Genomic DNA, 15,456 nt, shown 5'->3' on the forward strand with positions numbered 1-15,456 from the left:
GATCTGCCCGCCTCGGCCTCCCAAAGTGTTGGGATTACAGGCGTGAGTCACTGCTCCTGGCTAAGAAGAATTTGGTTGGAAAGAAAAGTGTCACCTGTCCTTGTATCTTTGTTAGGGAACAAATTCCCATGCCACCAGAGAGGAGCTTTCACTTGAGCCTGGGTAGCGTTGCCTCATGGAACAAGGTTTTTCATCTTTAGCACTGCCAACATTTCAATCAGATAATTTGTTGTTGCGAGGGGCTGTCTTTAGCAGTAACCCTGGCCTCTATGCACTAAATGCCAGCAGCATTCCCTCCAACCTTGCCAGTAGTGACAACTAAAAATGTTTTAGACATCACCAATGTTTCATCACCCAAATTGTCCTCGGTTGAGAACCACTGTCATGGAGTGATCCTCATTACCTTCTCTACCGTGCACAAGATAAGGTGAGTCTAATGAATTAAGGAGAACTTGAAATGCAAATCAGAATTCTATAATGTTTCTGCTATAATTTTTTTTCTATCTTATCTTTGCTATAATTTTTTAAGGGCACACTTTGTACATATGCCACCGGCCTGTATTAAGCCTAAAAGCACAAATCAATGAGTATAGAGTTGATCCCATTTTGCTTTGTAAGAGTTCATCTTTTACAATTTTTGTCAGCCTTAGAAGTAAAGCAGGGGGAGATGCTAGGACAATATTCCCATATTAGAAGAAGTATGCCTATAGGTGGAGGGAAGGGGGTGGCTAGGCCAAAGACTAGGGAGGATTAGGAAGACCAAATCCAAAATGCAGTGCATTTCATTAGTGCTGATATGAGCAAGCTCGAGTTAGTTGGCCATTGTGTTGGTGGCATGAGAAGTTTGGAGGGTAGTTGTCTCCATTTCTTTTTTATTGCCTCCCTTTTGTCTACATCTCTATTTTTGTTTCTTTTTCTCTTCTCTTATCCCTTACTTCTTTCTTTTCTCCCTTGTGCATCCTTGAGCATGTTATTTTTCTAGTTCCTTCCCCCTCTGTTGCTATTTTAGTCAAGCATTGGTCATGAAAGCCCAGCATCATGGTTGTAAGTGGGGTTCCGGAACAAGATGGCCTGAGTTTGAATCAGAGCTCTGCTACTTTCTTGCTATGAAACCTTCTCAAGCATATAATTTAACCTCTATGTGTTTTCATTTCCTTACCACTAAAATGGGGATGATATTAATAGTACCTGTCTCTTGGTCAGCAGTATTAACATATGTAAAGCGCATGGAAGGGAGGCTGTGGCAGGCAGTAAGCACCCAATAGATGTTAACCATTATGATTACCTTCACATCCCCTACCCTGCAGGGAAGAATGTGACCACACACTTTTATATAAAAGCATCTAGCAACATTTGCCTGTTTGTATTTATTGAGAGAATTATTCTATATTATTGGTTTGGGAGAGGAGAAAGTTAGGCATCTGTTAACACTTTCAGGAATAAGGCTCATTTAACACCTTTGTGCTGGGGAAAGTGCTGAGGAAACACTTTGAACAAATGTACATTTTATAGTAATAGAAAAGAAGTAATTCCATTGAATTTCTCCCTATAGTATGTGTATTGTTATTGCTAGTCTGAATATAATGTATGCAATATTTCTCTGTGGCTGGAGGGAAAGCAAACTTTAAAATTACATAAATAACAATAGAATATTAAATATAGAAAATGAAATTTTGAAAAGCCTTTCTGAACAAGACTGTTATTTTTCACATATTATTTTTCTTAGAAAAGACAGTGAGCTACTGCTAATACTGTTTAATAAATGAATATTCTCTGTATTAGTCAGTTTTCACACTGCTATAAAGAACTGCCCTAGACTGGATAATTTATAAAGGAAAGAGGTTTAATTGACTCACAGTTCAGCATGGCTGGGGAGGCCTCAGGAAACTTACAATCACGGCGGAAGGTGAAGGGGAAGCAAGGCACCTTCTTCACAAGGTGGCCGGAAGGAGAAAAGCAAGCAAGAGCAGGGAAGACTACCTCATAAAACCTTCAGATCTCGTGAGAACTCACTCACTATCACAAGAACAGCATGGGGAAACCAGCACCATGATCCAATCACCTCCCACCTGGACCCACCCTCAACAGGTGGGGATTATGGGGACTACAATTCAAGATGAGATTTAGGTGGGGACACAGACCTAACCATATTAATCTCATTACAGTTACTTCACAACAACAGCTAATGGTATAGCTAAGGAAATTGAAGCAAAGAGAAATTAAGAAACAGGTAAATTAGGGAACTCACTGAAGAAGAAACATGAATAAAATTAAACCTAGTGATTAGGGAAACACAAAATAAAACAACAAGATACCATTTTGGTAGGGCATCACACTGGTAAAAAATGAAGAGATTGTTAATATCCACTTTGGGTGCACCTATAGAGTAAAAGGTACTCTTACACACTACTGGTTAAAAAATATTGGTTAAAAAAAGGAACAATGCTTTTCGGAGGGCAGTTTGGCATTATCTTTTATTATTTAAAATATTCATTCTCTTTGATGTAGCAATTTCACTTATATAAATCTTCCTGAGAGAAATCTTTGCCTTTACGTCCAAAGATAACTGTACAAGGATAATCACTGAAGAATTGTTTTTGTTTGTTTGTTTGAGACAGAGTCTTACTCTGTTACCCAGCCAGTGATCCTGGCTCACTGCAATCTCCACCTCCTGAGCGGGTTCAAGTGATTCTCCTGCCTCAGCCTCCTGAGTAGTTGGGATTACAGGTGCCCACCACCAGGCCTGGCTAATTTTTGTATTTTTAAGTAGAGATGGGGTTTCACCATGTTGGCCAGGCTGGTCTGGAACTCCCAACCTCAAGTGATCCATCCACCTTAGCCTCCCAAAGTGCAGGCATGAGCTGCTGTACCTAGCCAAAGAATTGTTTTCAATAGAAATAACAAAATCTAAAACAATGAATGATTGATGTCCATTTGTAGACAGAAACAGATAAATAGAAATAAATAACTTGTAGTATACCCACATTATGAAATACTATATAACCATTTAAAATAATGAATACTCATATAAAAATATACACAGCTTGTTAAAAAGTAGCATTATAATATGTAAAACTTGTGTTTATTATGTGTGTGTAAATATACGGAAAAGGATCTGAAATTATATACTTGTATTCTAAACAGCTAATAGTGGTCACCTTTGAGAAAAGTGGGATTGGAGTCCTCACTTTTACTCTGTACACTTTTTTATACAGTTCTAAGTTTTTAGGAGTACTTGGTTTAGTTATTAAATGAGCAAAAATGGCAATTTAGCAGTTTTGTCTTTGCACTTGGGGATTACTAGGGTTATATATGGAGAGTACATGTGGACTTTAAATTCCAATATATCTGATTTGAGCTAAGTATTGAGATTTCTTCATCTTGATATTATTTTGAGCCTTTTAAAAATTATTGTTTTGGGCCAGGTGCAGTGGCTCACACCCGTAATTCCAGCTCTTTGGAAGGCCAACGCAGAAGGATCACTTGAGCCTAGGGCTTCAGGATCACCCTGGGAAACAAAGTGAGACCCTTTCTCTACAAATATTAAAAAATTAGCCAGGCACGGTAGTGCACTCCTGTAGTCCCAGCTACTTGGGAGGCTGAGGCAGGAGGATTGTTTGAGCCCAGGAGTTTGAGGTTACGGTGAGCTGTGATTATACCACTGCACTCCAGTCTGGGTGATACAGTTAGACCCTCCCTGTTTTAATAAATCAATCAATAAATAAAATTATTCCTTTGAATTATACATGACATAGGTGCACATAAGTGTCCGTTAAATTTCTGAAAGGCAACAGGCAATTTCTACCTATCAACAATACTAGACATTTGGGGAAGATAAAAGAGATCTTAGAAAGTAAGGCTACTGTTTTCTTAATCTGATATTCAGAGCAAACACTAAGAACCAAGAACACTTTTTGGAATAAAATAAACACAACAAAAATGTGTCTAGTATAGAATTTTTACATGCATTCAGAAGAGACAAGAGAAACAGGAGGCCTAGTAAAAACTATATTGTAATGGATAAGATGAGAATCAGAACAGGTGGCCTTGGACACTTAGAATTTTTTTTTGTTTTTTTTTTGAGATACAGTCTCGCTCTTGTTACCCAGGCTGGAGTACAGTGGTGCGATCTCGGCTCACTGCAAGCTCTGCCTCCCGGATTCAAGCCATTCTTCTGCCTCAGCCTCCCAAGTAGCTGGGATTACAGGTGCCCACCACCATGCCTGGCTAATTTTTGTATATTTAGTAGAGATGGGGTTTCAGCATGTTGGCCAGGCTGGTCTCGAATTCCTGACCTCAGGTGATCCACCCACCTCAGCCTCCCAAAGTGCTGGGATTACAGGTGTGAGCCACCATGGACAGCCAGGCATTTAGAATTAATAAAAAAGACAACCACTCTCAGTTCTTGGGTTGGGACTCAAACCAAGTGCATTATGTAAAAGATAATTTTCTCAGAGTATTTAGGTACTAAATTAGGAGATTGCTGAAATAAGCCACAAAGGGCCCATGTAATAAAAAACTGCCAGAAAATATAATTGAAAACAAACAAGTCAGCTACATAAACATCCATTGGGTCACTGTGTGGTACCAAACAGATATTTTCCCAGGGAAAATGAAATAGGTGCTGGTGAAAAGGATAACATATTTAAATAGGTTAAAGGTTGGGCAATGGCTATGACAGCTTAATTCTGATGGGGTTTCCTCTTCAGCCAAGTCCTAGCCTTGCCATATAAAAGTGTACCAAAAAAAATATCCAAACACGTATCAAATCTCTCTTAGCTTCAATTGGCCCTTTGAAAGCTGAAGTTATACAAATAAGTAACAATTAGCATATTTTTTCTATTTACATTCTCCTTGAACACATGGTTAAGTCAATTTCAAGGACTGTTTTTCACTTCCTTGTTCTTGTTTATGTTTCACTATGATGCTTCACGGTAACTCATCTGCTGTTAATCCTCTACTTTGTGAAGCAAAATCAGTTTCTCCCATAGTAACTCTTATAGCACTTACCATGGTAATGGTAATTACCAATTTACACCTTTACTAGACTATAAACTTCTTGAGTTTAAGAACTGCTTTCATTTCATCTATAATAAGAGCCTGGCAAATAAAATAAGTAAGTCAATAAATTAGTGTTGCTGATATAGATATCTTCTGTGAGTTTATCAAAGATGGACCCTTTGAAAGTTGGACCTAAACACCACTCTCTAATGAATTCTAGATGGCTCTGATAGTTTTCTGAAGGTTCTTTCTATTGTTTATTGAGTACTGTTGGCTCTGTAAAATAGGATAAATATCAGGAGTGAAGGTGATAAGGAAAAGTCTAAAAAGAGCAAAACCAGGCAATAATAATGGTTAGAATTAAATGAGTTACACTTCAAGTGATTTTCAAGAAAATTTGATATTTTAGATATATGAAAAGTAAAAATAAACTGGAATTACACATAAGTAGAGTTTATGAATCTGGATGAAACCATGTCAAAATTTCCATGCCATTTAAATGGATAGGAGCTCCAGAGACATAAATTCAAAATATAAACTAAGAGTTGTCCTACTAGAGTAATAAATTACTATTACCATAATAAAATAACATATAATAAGTGCCTATCTGACATCTCACTTTACAAGTTATTATACAAAATAATTTGTGTAATGAATGATAATATGAAATTTGAGACTTCATAAAATTTGGAAAGGATGGTTAGCTAAATACAGACATTAAACAAATACATAGTTAAGGACAGAATCATGGAACTTATAAAGGATAATTGGAACTTATAAAGGATAATTACATTCCTAAGACATACTCTGGACCAAATAATTTAAGATTGCAGAAAGTAATTTTATTTTCCCAAATCAATTCCAAAAAGCTTTATGGAAAATATCGGGAGATATATAGTAACGTGTTACTTAAAGACAAGGATAAATTCTGAGAAATGCATTGTGAGGCAATTTCCTCTTTGTGTGAACATCACAGACTGTACTTAGACAAACCTAGATGGTATAGCCTGTTGCTCCTAGGCTACAAACCTGTACAGTGTGTTACTGTATTGAATACTGTGAGCAGTTGTTACACAATGGTAAGCGTCAATATTTGCATATCTAAACATAGAAATGGTACAATAAAAACGAGGTATTATAGTCTTATAGGACCAATGTCATATATGCAGTCCATCGTTGACTGAAAGTCATTATGAGGCATCTGACTGTACCTGAAATAAGCAAGAATAAGATAGGTAAAGACAGACTGTTCAAAATGCATGGCATCTTGGCAGGGGACCCAGAAGGAAGTCTGGGACGATCCAACAAAAGAAGGAAACTTGACATAAACAAAAATTGGCTAAAACCTAGGAGGCAATGAGGGTGTTAATTGTTTTAGGGCTTTTTGATAAAGAGCTTTAGAGTTGAAGGAGGCATTCTCTAGGATGAAGGAAAGCCAGTGTCTTAGGATTTTAAATCTTATGGAAAATAAAAACATCTCTTTCTGGTGATGTACGAACTGGCCAGATGTCACTGGACTGAAGCTTTTAGCATTTTTAAACCAGAAGAAGTTTTCCTTTGGGTGTGTATTCTTTATTTCTCTGTACAAAAGTACTAAAGATAATATCATAGATCTTCAAAACAGACACATTTGAGGATACTAATAAGATTAGTGTCATTGGAGAAAAACGAGTTAATTTTATTACTTTTTATGGCATTTAGTCATATTGCAATTTATAGAATCTAAATGTTTCCTTCTGGTTCTATGTCTCCCTAGCTAGACTGTAAGTTTCTGGAAAGCAGGCCTCCTCCCTGTACCTAGAGTAGTCCTGTAGATTCTACCACCTACATATGTCTATAGTCATCTTCTTTCTAGCCCCATGAGCAATGTCCTCAGTTTTCTCCTGTATAGATGATTGCAACAGCCTTTTTACTGGTCTCCAAAATCTTACAGTATAGCAAGGAGACATGGAAAACCAAATGGAAATATTTAAATAATATAAAATGTTATACAAACATATAAAAATATAATATATAAAAATAACTGCTATTTTTCCCTTGAATACTGACATTTTCTTTATAGCTCTCCTCCCACCTCTACCTATATTCTGACTTTGAATTATAACTATGAAACTGCACACACACACTGCCAACACAGAGGGCTGGAGGGGCCAATGTGGCATGAAAATGCAGGGTCTTTTGTTTTGTTTAGCTTTCTAAAATTATAGTGGACTACATGGAAGCTACAACAAAATGCAAAGTTTTAAGGTCTCCTGAGTGACTATGTAGAAACACCAGGCTTTACAGGTGCCTAATGAAGTGTGAAAAAGTCCAATTAAAGTGTGATGTTGCAGTGGGAAGAGGAGGGAACCTTCAGGTAAGCTAGAGAGTTGAGGGCGGGAAGGCGGGGGGAAGACTTTTTTTTTTTTTTTTTTTTAGAAAAGCACAGAGATTTTAGAGAAAAGAGGGAAAGCAGGGAGCAACTGTTAAGGCCACAGTCCCCTGCCAGCACTGCAGGGAGCTACGGGTGAGCAGTGGGCTTAATCCAGAGATGAACAGAGACAAGGTGCTGAGTGGTCCAAGTCACAGGCCAGGAAAAAGAGGCTAAAGTAAAACAGGAATAAAAATCCTGTTTTGGGGTGGGGAGTGCAGAAAAAGGGCTAGAAATGGTAATGGGAATCTCTGACTTTTGCATACTTGGAAGCTGGACAAGCTTGAAGAACAAGGTTAGGAAGGGACACTATTAAAGATAAAGGGATTACTGGCCAGGTGTGGTGGCTCATGCCTGTAATCCCAGTACTTTGGGAGGCGGAGGCAGGCAGATCACCCGAGGTCAGGAGTTCAAGACTAGCCTGGCCAAGATGGTGAAACCCTGTCTCTACTAAAAATACAAAAATTAGCCAGGTGTGGTGGCGCACGCCTGTAATCCCAGCTACTCGGGAGGCTGAGGCAAGAGAATTGCTTAAACCCAGGAGGCAGAGGTTGCAGTGAGCCGAGATCACGCCATTGCCCTCTAGCCTGGGCAACAGAGCGAGATTCCATCTCAAATAATAATAATAATAAAGATAAAGAGATTACTTACAATAGGGCTTCTTAAACTTTAATGCACAGATGAATCATACGGCGGTATTGTTAAAATGCAGATTCTAATTCAGGAAGACTGGAGTGGAGCCCAAGGGCCTGCATTTCTAACAAGCTTCCGGGTGAAGCTTTGCAGCTTTGAGTGGCAAGGATATGCAATATTAAACATGAACACTTAAAACATTTTTTTGTGTGTGACGGAGTCTCACTCTGTTGCCCAGGCTGGAGTGCAGTGGTGCGATCTTGGCTCACTGCAATTTCCACCTACTGGGTTCACGCCATTCTCCTGCTTCAGCCTCCCGAGTGGCTGGGTCTACAGGCACCCGCCACCATGCCCGGCCAATTTTTTGTGTTTTTAGTAGAGACAGAGTTTCACCATGTTAACCGGGATGGTCTCGATCTCCTGACCTCGTGATCCGCCTGCCTTGCCTCCCAAAGTGCTGGGATTACAGGCGTGAGCCACAGCGCCTGGCCAAAACATTTTTATATGCGGGGTGTGGTGGCTGACGCCTGTAATCCCAGCACTTTGGGAGGCCGAGACAGATGGATTGCTTGAGCTCAGGAGTTTGAGGCCAGTCTGGGCAACATGGCGAAACCCCCTCTCTACAAAATACAAAAATTAGCTGGGCATGGTGATGGGTGCCTGTAGTCCCACCTACTTGGAGGCTGAGGTGGGAGGATTGCTTGACTCTGGGAAGTGGAGATTGCAATGAGCTGAGATTGTGCCACTGCACTCCAGCCTGGGCAACAGAGGAAGAAAAAAAAAAAACCCAAACTAAACAAACAAAAACCATTTTTTAACAAAATAAACCAGTCAATGAATTTATGCTTCCCAGTATAGATATGTTCTGTAGGTTTATCAAAGACTTATACATCAAAGATAATTATGAAATTATCCTCCCTTTTACCCTTAGTTAATGGCAATGAAGAGATGATCTACAGTGCCCCAGTTCACACTAATAATGTATTTGAGAGCATAATCCTTGTTACATGTCTACTTTAATAACAAGATAACTACTTTTGTTATTTACAGCAACACATTTGCACATTCATGTGTCTAAGAAAACAACCCGTGATGACAGAAATGTTTTATATCTAGATTGTTCAATATGATAGCGACTAACCACTTGTGGCTATTGAGCACTTGAAACATGGCTAGTATACCTGAGGAATAAACAGCCACATATGGCTAGTGGTTACCATGATCATCGATATCTGCTAGCATCACCCAAAGACAACCAGATGTTATTTGCCTTCTGATTGAAGTAGTCCTCCTATCAAGGCTCTAGATTTAGAAACCAATTTACAAAAGAGACTCCAGATGTCCCCAGACCCTACTCTAAGAACTGATGGTATAAAGGAACTTACGTACCTGAGGCCCACAAAAGGCAGCTGATAATAGCCAAGGAATTTAATTCTTTCGTTATCTAAAAGTAGGACTCTCCTGTTAAATCATTATCCAAAGTAATAATGACTTGAAAGTCTATCCCACCAAATATCCCATCTTTGAGAAATTATAATATTGAAACATACACACATACACACCCACACACACAGAATTTTGAAGGAGGGGATGAAACGGGGTTGAGCTCTAGCCATGCCTTTACTATTGTGTAACCTCTGGGACCTCTCTGATCTTCAGTTTGCAAGTCTCTTTGTAACCTGGAGTTAATAATAATACCTACTGGGGAAGGGTGTTAGGAAGGTAAGTTCCTGAAGGGCAATGTGTATTTCAAATGTAATCCTGTTGTAATCCTATACCATGGTTAATTAGTACTCATTAAAAGGGAAAGCAATGCCATATTTAAAGCAAAATCCAAGGAACCAACCTAGAATCTTTTGTCATACTAAATTTGTGTTGCACGTGGCCTTGGATTATTTTATGATGGGTATTTCAGTCCTTCATATTTGTTGTAGTGGGACATAACCGTTAAAGAATGAGCATGCTAAAGCCATTTGGGAGAATAATGGTAAGTGCTTTATTTAGTAGTGTGGGGTCTGGTAAGCATCCTCCCTGCTAAGATTATACAGAAAATAAAGGAAATTGCAGACTGCTCATTTCCCTTGTACTCATCCTAATCTTGTGGAAACTTCCTGTAAAAGGCAGTTATAGCATTAAAAGTAAACTGATTACACACTCACCGGATACTGCCAAACCAACAATTGCCGTCCTTAGGGAAAAAAGGAAAACAGCATACTTATCCTTTATACTTTGCATTAGTTTGGAAGAACATGGGAATCCTAGTGATGGGGAAGCAGACTCATGCCAGAGGCAAGGAAACTATTTAGAAACATGGTTACCACTTAGTAATTCCACTGAGAGGCAGGGCTCATTAGCCAAGAGACTGGTTAAACTAAAGAAAAAAAATCATTTATTAAACAAAGTACATGATGAAAATAGGAAGTTCCGATTGATCAAGGCACACATTAACTACAGTTTTAAAAAACAAAATTTTAATAACATCTGCTAAGGAGTAATGTTAAGGGTAATTTTAGAAATGGAAATATGCACTTGTATTTTATGTACTTTTAGAACCTCATATGTTGGCATGGCTGTCTCCTCTTTTGGCTTCTCAAGAATACAAATATCTGATGAGAGCTTCTGGTGCAAGGCACAGTGTATGTGAAATGCTAAACTGCAATAGTATTAAGTCCCAATAGTAAGCCAGAGGGGATTCCTGATTTCAACTCCAGTGCCAGTCAGTATAGCTTCATTTTTATATATAGTCAAGGCTCTGGTATAGTATTTTACCTAAAAAGCCTCTATTACTTACGACCACTGCTAAAAAGGATGCCAAAAAATATAAAGGGCAGCCCCTACCTTCAAGTCACTAAAATTTAATTGGGAAAACAAATATAAACTCATAAAAAATGAATCAGCAAAAATAATAATTATCAACACAAGTATAAACAGCAAAGGCAAAAATAAAAGAATCTGAGAAGACCAATTCTGAACTCATAAGAAAGATGATTACTATGGGCTGAGCAATGTGAAAAAAAGAAAAGAAACTTTGAATAGGAAAATAGCATGCCATCTGCCAGTGTCTCAGTGAGGACAGCCTACTTTTTGCTGTCCTTGTGAATAAACCCTGGCCTGATACCTACATGGAACTCAGAATCCACTTGTACCTTCTTAACTTGGATCATATCCTATACTGGCAATTACTTGGCAATTGTTCTCTTGTTCCTCCCTCTTTGGCCCATGGATCCTATTGATAATTAATTACCTCGAACAGGTCATTAAATGGTTGTGGCTAATTCCTAAAGCTGAGGACAATAATACAGATAGTCACTTGTGATAACCAGCTATTGTGACTAGCTTCCTTCCCACAGGGCTACCTAGAAAACACAACTGAGCAAATATAAGTATCTCCTTTCTTGCTGAGCCCGAATGTGGCCATAGAATTCTTCTTGATTAGTACCAACTGAATGGAGTTGGAGCTTAAGACAAAACTGTGATCTGTATTTAGCTTCTCACATCTGGCTGGATCCCCTTTCCTAACTGAACTATCCCTCTGGCCTTGACCAGTGTCTATCTAAGCTTATGATATACCACTGGCCACCCTTTTTTGTGTTTAGCTGGAACACAGCTTTCAATCACGGATGTGCTGGGAGACAGGATGACAAAAATGGTTTTAAGGAAAGGGGGAGTAGATGATGAAGGACTAAAAAGGGCCAAGCACCTGGCATACTTACAAAAGCATGGCCCCATCATAGACCTAGTGATCACAATTTCTGAGCTGGGGTCTAGGAATCTGCATTTTAAGTACTTGCAGTGTATTTTAAAAAAATTATTATAGAACATTTTAAATTATAAAATAGTAAAGAGAATGTATTCATCATTAATCTATAACCAATCTTGTTTCATCTATATCCTTACCCATTCTTCCTACTCCTCACCCCAGTGGATTATTCTGAAGCATAACGTTTCATCTGTAAATATTTTAGTACATATCTCTGAAAGGTAAGGACTTGAAGAAAATGTTGCCATAAACCAATACTTAAAAAAAATTCCTTGTTTTCATCAAATCTCCAGTTAATGTTCAAATCTCTCCAGTTGTCCCAAATTTAAAAATATTTAAGTCACGATCCAAATAAGATCTCACACATTGTCTTTGGTTGGTACGTCTCTTTACTCTTAAGGTCCAGACACCCGGATAGATAAGTCGAGGCCTCCTGAGTATAGAGCAGCCAGTGATTGACAGTCAGACTAGAAGATCCCTTGGCTCTGAGCAGTAGCACCATTTCTGACTGCTTCAGAGTAGAAGACTCTGAGCTCTGCTAAACCAAAGCAAATTTTTAAAAAGTTGGTGAGATCTTTAACAACTGGGTGAGAGAACTACAAATGCGTTGTTGAAAAAAGGGCACAAAAGTGTTCTAGAAATGGCATAGGACCACCAAAGGCTGTGGATGGTTTGCTGACTATGTCTTGGTCGTGGAGTTGAGAGCAATCTTTAAAGCATTAATTTGGGCTATTGATCACATCTTGCTCCCTTTATGTAAGCAGTGTGTGGTGTATGTGGAATGTGGAAATAGCCAGCACAGTGCCTGGCTCATGACAACCAAGATTCTTCCAAAGACTATACTGACAATTTCCTTGATACACTAGAACCTCAAACAGATGCAAATCTTCAAAAGATAAAGGCCTTTGCAAATGACCGACTTTCCTTCTATTTACTTAATCATAATAACTGTGATAGTTTCATTTATTAATGGCTTACTAAGGACCAGGCCATGTGTCTAGCAACTGATAGTTATTTGTTGAATGCATGAACAAGAATATTGAATGCTTTACATTTAATCCTCAGAGCATCTGCCACTATTTTGCCATGAAGTTTATTACTATCTCTGACAAAACAGTAGTAAGAACTAGGACTTATTCTTACTGTGAATTCTTAATCTGTTCTAAGTAACTCTGTATATTATTATCTCGTTCATCAGCACAACAGCTGTGTAAGTTAAGTACTATTATCCCCATTTTATGCAGGCCCAGAGTTTCAGTAACTTGGATAAGAACACAGATTATAACTGATGGTACTTGACTGAAACTTGAGCAGCCTAACTGGTTAACAGTAGTCCTGGAAGGGGAAGAGGCCAGTATCAACACTCCCATGTATAAGTTCTTGGCAAGAATAAGTTCAAAAAGGCAGGTTTAGAGGTCATGTCTAGCACAGACCATCATCAACATTGCCCCTCTCTTTCTCAAGAGTAAGGACAATGCTGCTGCTGAGGCAGGAATCAAGTTACATAAAGAGACCTCAGAAATCAATGGGATGGTTTTTTGGGTACATTGACTGGTTTAGCGCCTCTGTTCATTCGTCAAACATTTATTAAGCACCTGCTACGTGCAAAACACTGTTAACAGTGCACTACTGTGCACGCTCATTCTCAGAACAACAATCCTGCGATTCCTGGAGAGGGATGGTAGAAGAGGAGTGCTGCCTTGTTAACGAGGTTCTCCCAACTTCTTTTTTTCCTCGGGAATTGTTCTCTTTAATGTGGCACCAGCGGCAACCTTCATTCTTAGGTCGCACAAATCTGAGAAGGAAGAGAAAAACATTGCACGCAGGGCGAGACTTATATCTGGGAAGATGCGTCAGGAACTTGGGAGCACTTGGGATTCAGTCCCCTAAGGTGGTTCATGTACAGGCTGGTTTTCTAAGTGGAGAACAGATAATAGAATTTGCAGAGCCAGGAGCTCTGACTCCTGTGGCTGGGCTGACCTTAGGCTCCAGCCCGCAACCCCAGTAGGTTTCTGTGCAAAAATCTTTTGAGATGAATGCATACTTTGTCTTCTAACAATGCATTCGTGACAGCTGTCTATCCAATCGGTCCGCCTCCGTTCAGAGCAGTTCGTGCCACAGAAGCATCTCCTGCGCTATAGTTATGCAACCTCACTCGCAGCGGGAGTTATTTCCTCCGTTCTGGCTGCGCCAGATTCATGTAACACGCCTACCCTGGGCTTCAATGGAAGTCGTTCTCCATTAACAATCACTCCAGCTTTCCGAGATGAATGCCCTGATAGCATACCCCTTGCGCAGTAAGAATCCAGGCAGCGAGGCGAGGTGTTAAAACACACATACATTCTCATATTCTCTCTCTCTCTCTCTCACACACACACACACACACACACACACACACATACACTTCGTGCATGCAGCTAGGGGACTGCAGCAGTGCAACCAGGGGGACAGCAGGAGGAGCTCTCTTTGCAGTCCCTGCTTCTAACCCCCACTAACTAAAGATGAACTCATGCCAGTTCCATTCTTTGCTCTGCAAAGAAAACACACACACACACACACACACACACACACACACACACACACACACGGCAGAAGAGAGTAGCCTCCAGATTTCCCCTCTGAGCACACTGTCTTTCTAGCCTCTTCGTTCAAGCAACCCGGATATTCCAAGCAGAGTAACGGGGAGTAACGCGCCACAACAATGCAACCTCCCTAGCAGCTCCCCTCGCAGCTCCCACCCCCGCCCCCTTTCGCGGCGTGCCAAGAGTTTGGAGCGCGCGCACGCACACCGAGCACGGTGCAGGGAGGATATCCCTCCGCCTCCCTCCCCCTTTCTCCGCTAAGTGGCTCGACAACGATTTGGGAAATGAAGGGAGGAGGGAACTACTTTCCTGAAACTTGCTATGCTGCACATGACTTCGAGTTGCAGTGATTCGCCCGGAGGCCGCGGCTTTTAGTCCTACCCACACACCCTCACAGCCTGGGCACCCCGCTCGGCAGCCCCACCCCGCGCCCGCTCTGGCCTCCGGGGAAAGCGGGCGGCCGGGAGAAGTCGCGAGGGACTACTTCGCCTCCTTCTCTCGCGGGCGCCCCCGGTTCGGGCAGCGGCTGCGGCGGCGGAAGGAGCGGGCGGCGTGAGCGCTTCCGCCGCCCCCCTCGCGGCTCCCCTCTCTCGGGCGTGAGGAGCTGGCCCGCTGAGCTGCTGGTGGGCACTGGCTGGCGGGGAACCTGCAGCCGCTCTTGTCCTCTCCCGCCGCTTCTCGGGATCCTGCCCCCCGGACCCGGGCCCGCCCGCTCTTCTCCGGCCGGGTGGGAACGATCGGTTTGCCTGCCCCTCGCCTCACACGCTCCCCGCCGCCCCCTCCACCCCCCTGAGGAGGAGTCCCGGCTGGAGCGTGTCTGGAGGAATCCGCCGCCGCGGGGCCCCTAGCCCTGCTCTGCCGGCGCCTGAGGACCGACCCAGACGCCGCCGGGGGTTGAGGGGCAGCCGGCGGCGAGGCGGGAGATGGTGGGGTGGGCTCCGGCAGGACCGCGCCGCCGCTGCCCGGAGCCTGGGCTCGGCACCCCCCCGCCGGCCCCCACCGAGCGGAGCTCTGCTTCCTCCTCGCCGCATCCCTGAGGGAAGCGCCGCCTCTGCTCCCGGGTTCTCCGC

General features: G+C 41.5%; 5 annotated features.

Moving 5' to 3' along the window:
* Positions 13,896-14,190: a silencer, noted in NCBI's record as "tiled region #4108; K562 Repressive DNase matched - State 4:PromP". NCBI's record gives its function as "represses a minimal TATA promoter and a strong SV40 promoter by Sharpr-MPRA in K562 cells {active_cell/tissue: K562}" and the evidence as "EXISTENCE:reporter gene assay evidence [ECO:0000049][PMID:27701403]".
* Positions 13,954-14,003: a silencer, noted in NCBI's record as "silent region_6299". NCBI's record gives its function as "represses an Ori minimal core promoter by ATAC-STARR-seq in GM12878 lymphoblastoid cells {active_cell/tissue: GM12878}" and the evidence as "EXISTENCE:reporter gene assay evidence [ECO:0000049][PMID:35858748]".
* Positions 14,834-15,133: a silencer, noted in NCBI's record as "silent region_6300". NCBI's record gives its function as "represses an Ori minimal core promoter by ATAC-STARR-seq in GM12878 lymphoblastoid cells {active_cell/tissue: GM12878}" and the evidence as "EXISTENCE:reporter gene assay evidence [ECO:0000049][PMID:35858748]".
* Positions 15,144-15,193: a silencer, noted in NCBI's record as "silent region_6301". NCBI's record gives its function as "represses an Ori minimal core promoter by ATAC-STARR-seq in GM12878 lymphoblastoid cells {active_cell/tissue: GM12878}" and the evidence as "EXISTENCE:reporter gene assay evidence [ECO:0000049][PMID:35858748]".
* Positions 15,294-15,393: a silencer, noted in NCBI's record as "silent region_6302". NCBI's record gives its function as "represses an Ori minimal core promoter by ATAC-STARR-seq in GM12878 lymphoblastoid cells {active_cell/tissue: GM12878}" and the evidence as "EXISTENCE:reporter gene assay evidence [ECO:0000049][PMID:35858748]".

This window comes from Homo sapiens, chromosome 15 (genome assembly GCF_000001405.40).
Source record: "Homo sapiens chromosome 15, GRCh38.p14 Primary Assembly".
In the NCBI taxonomy this organism is placed as follows: Eukaryota; Metazoa; Chordata; class Mammalia; order Primates; family Hominidae; genus Homo; species Homo sapiens.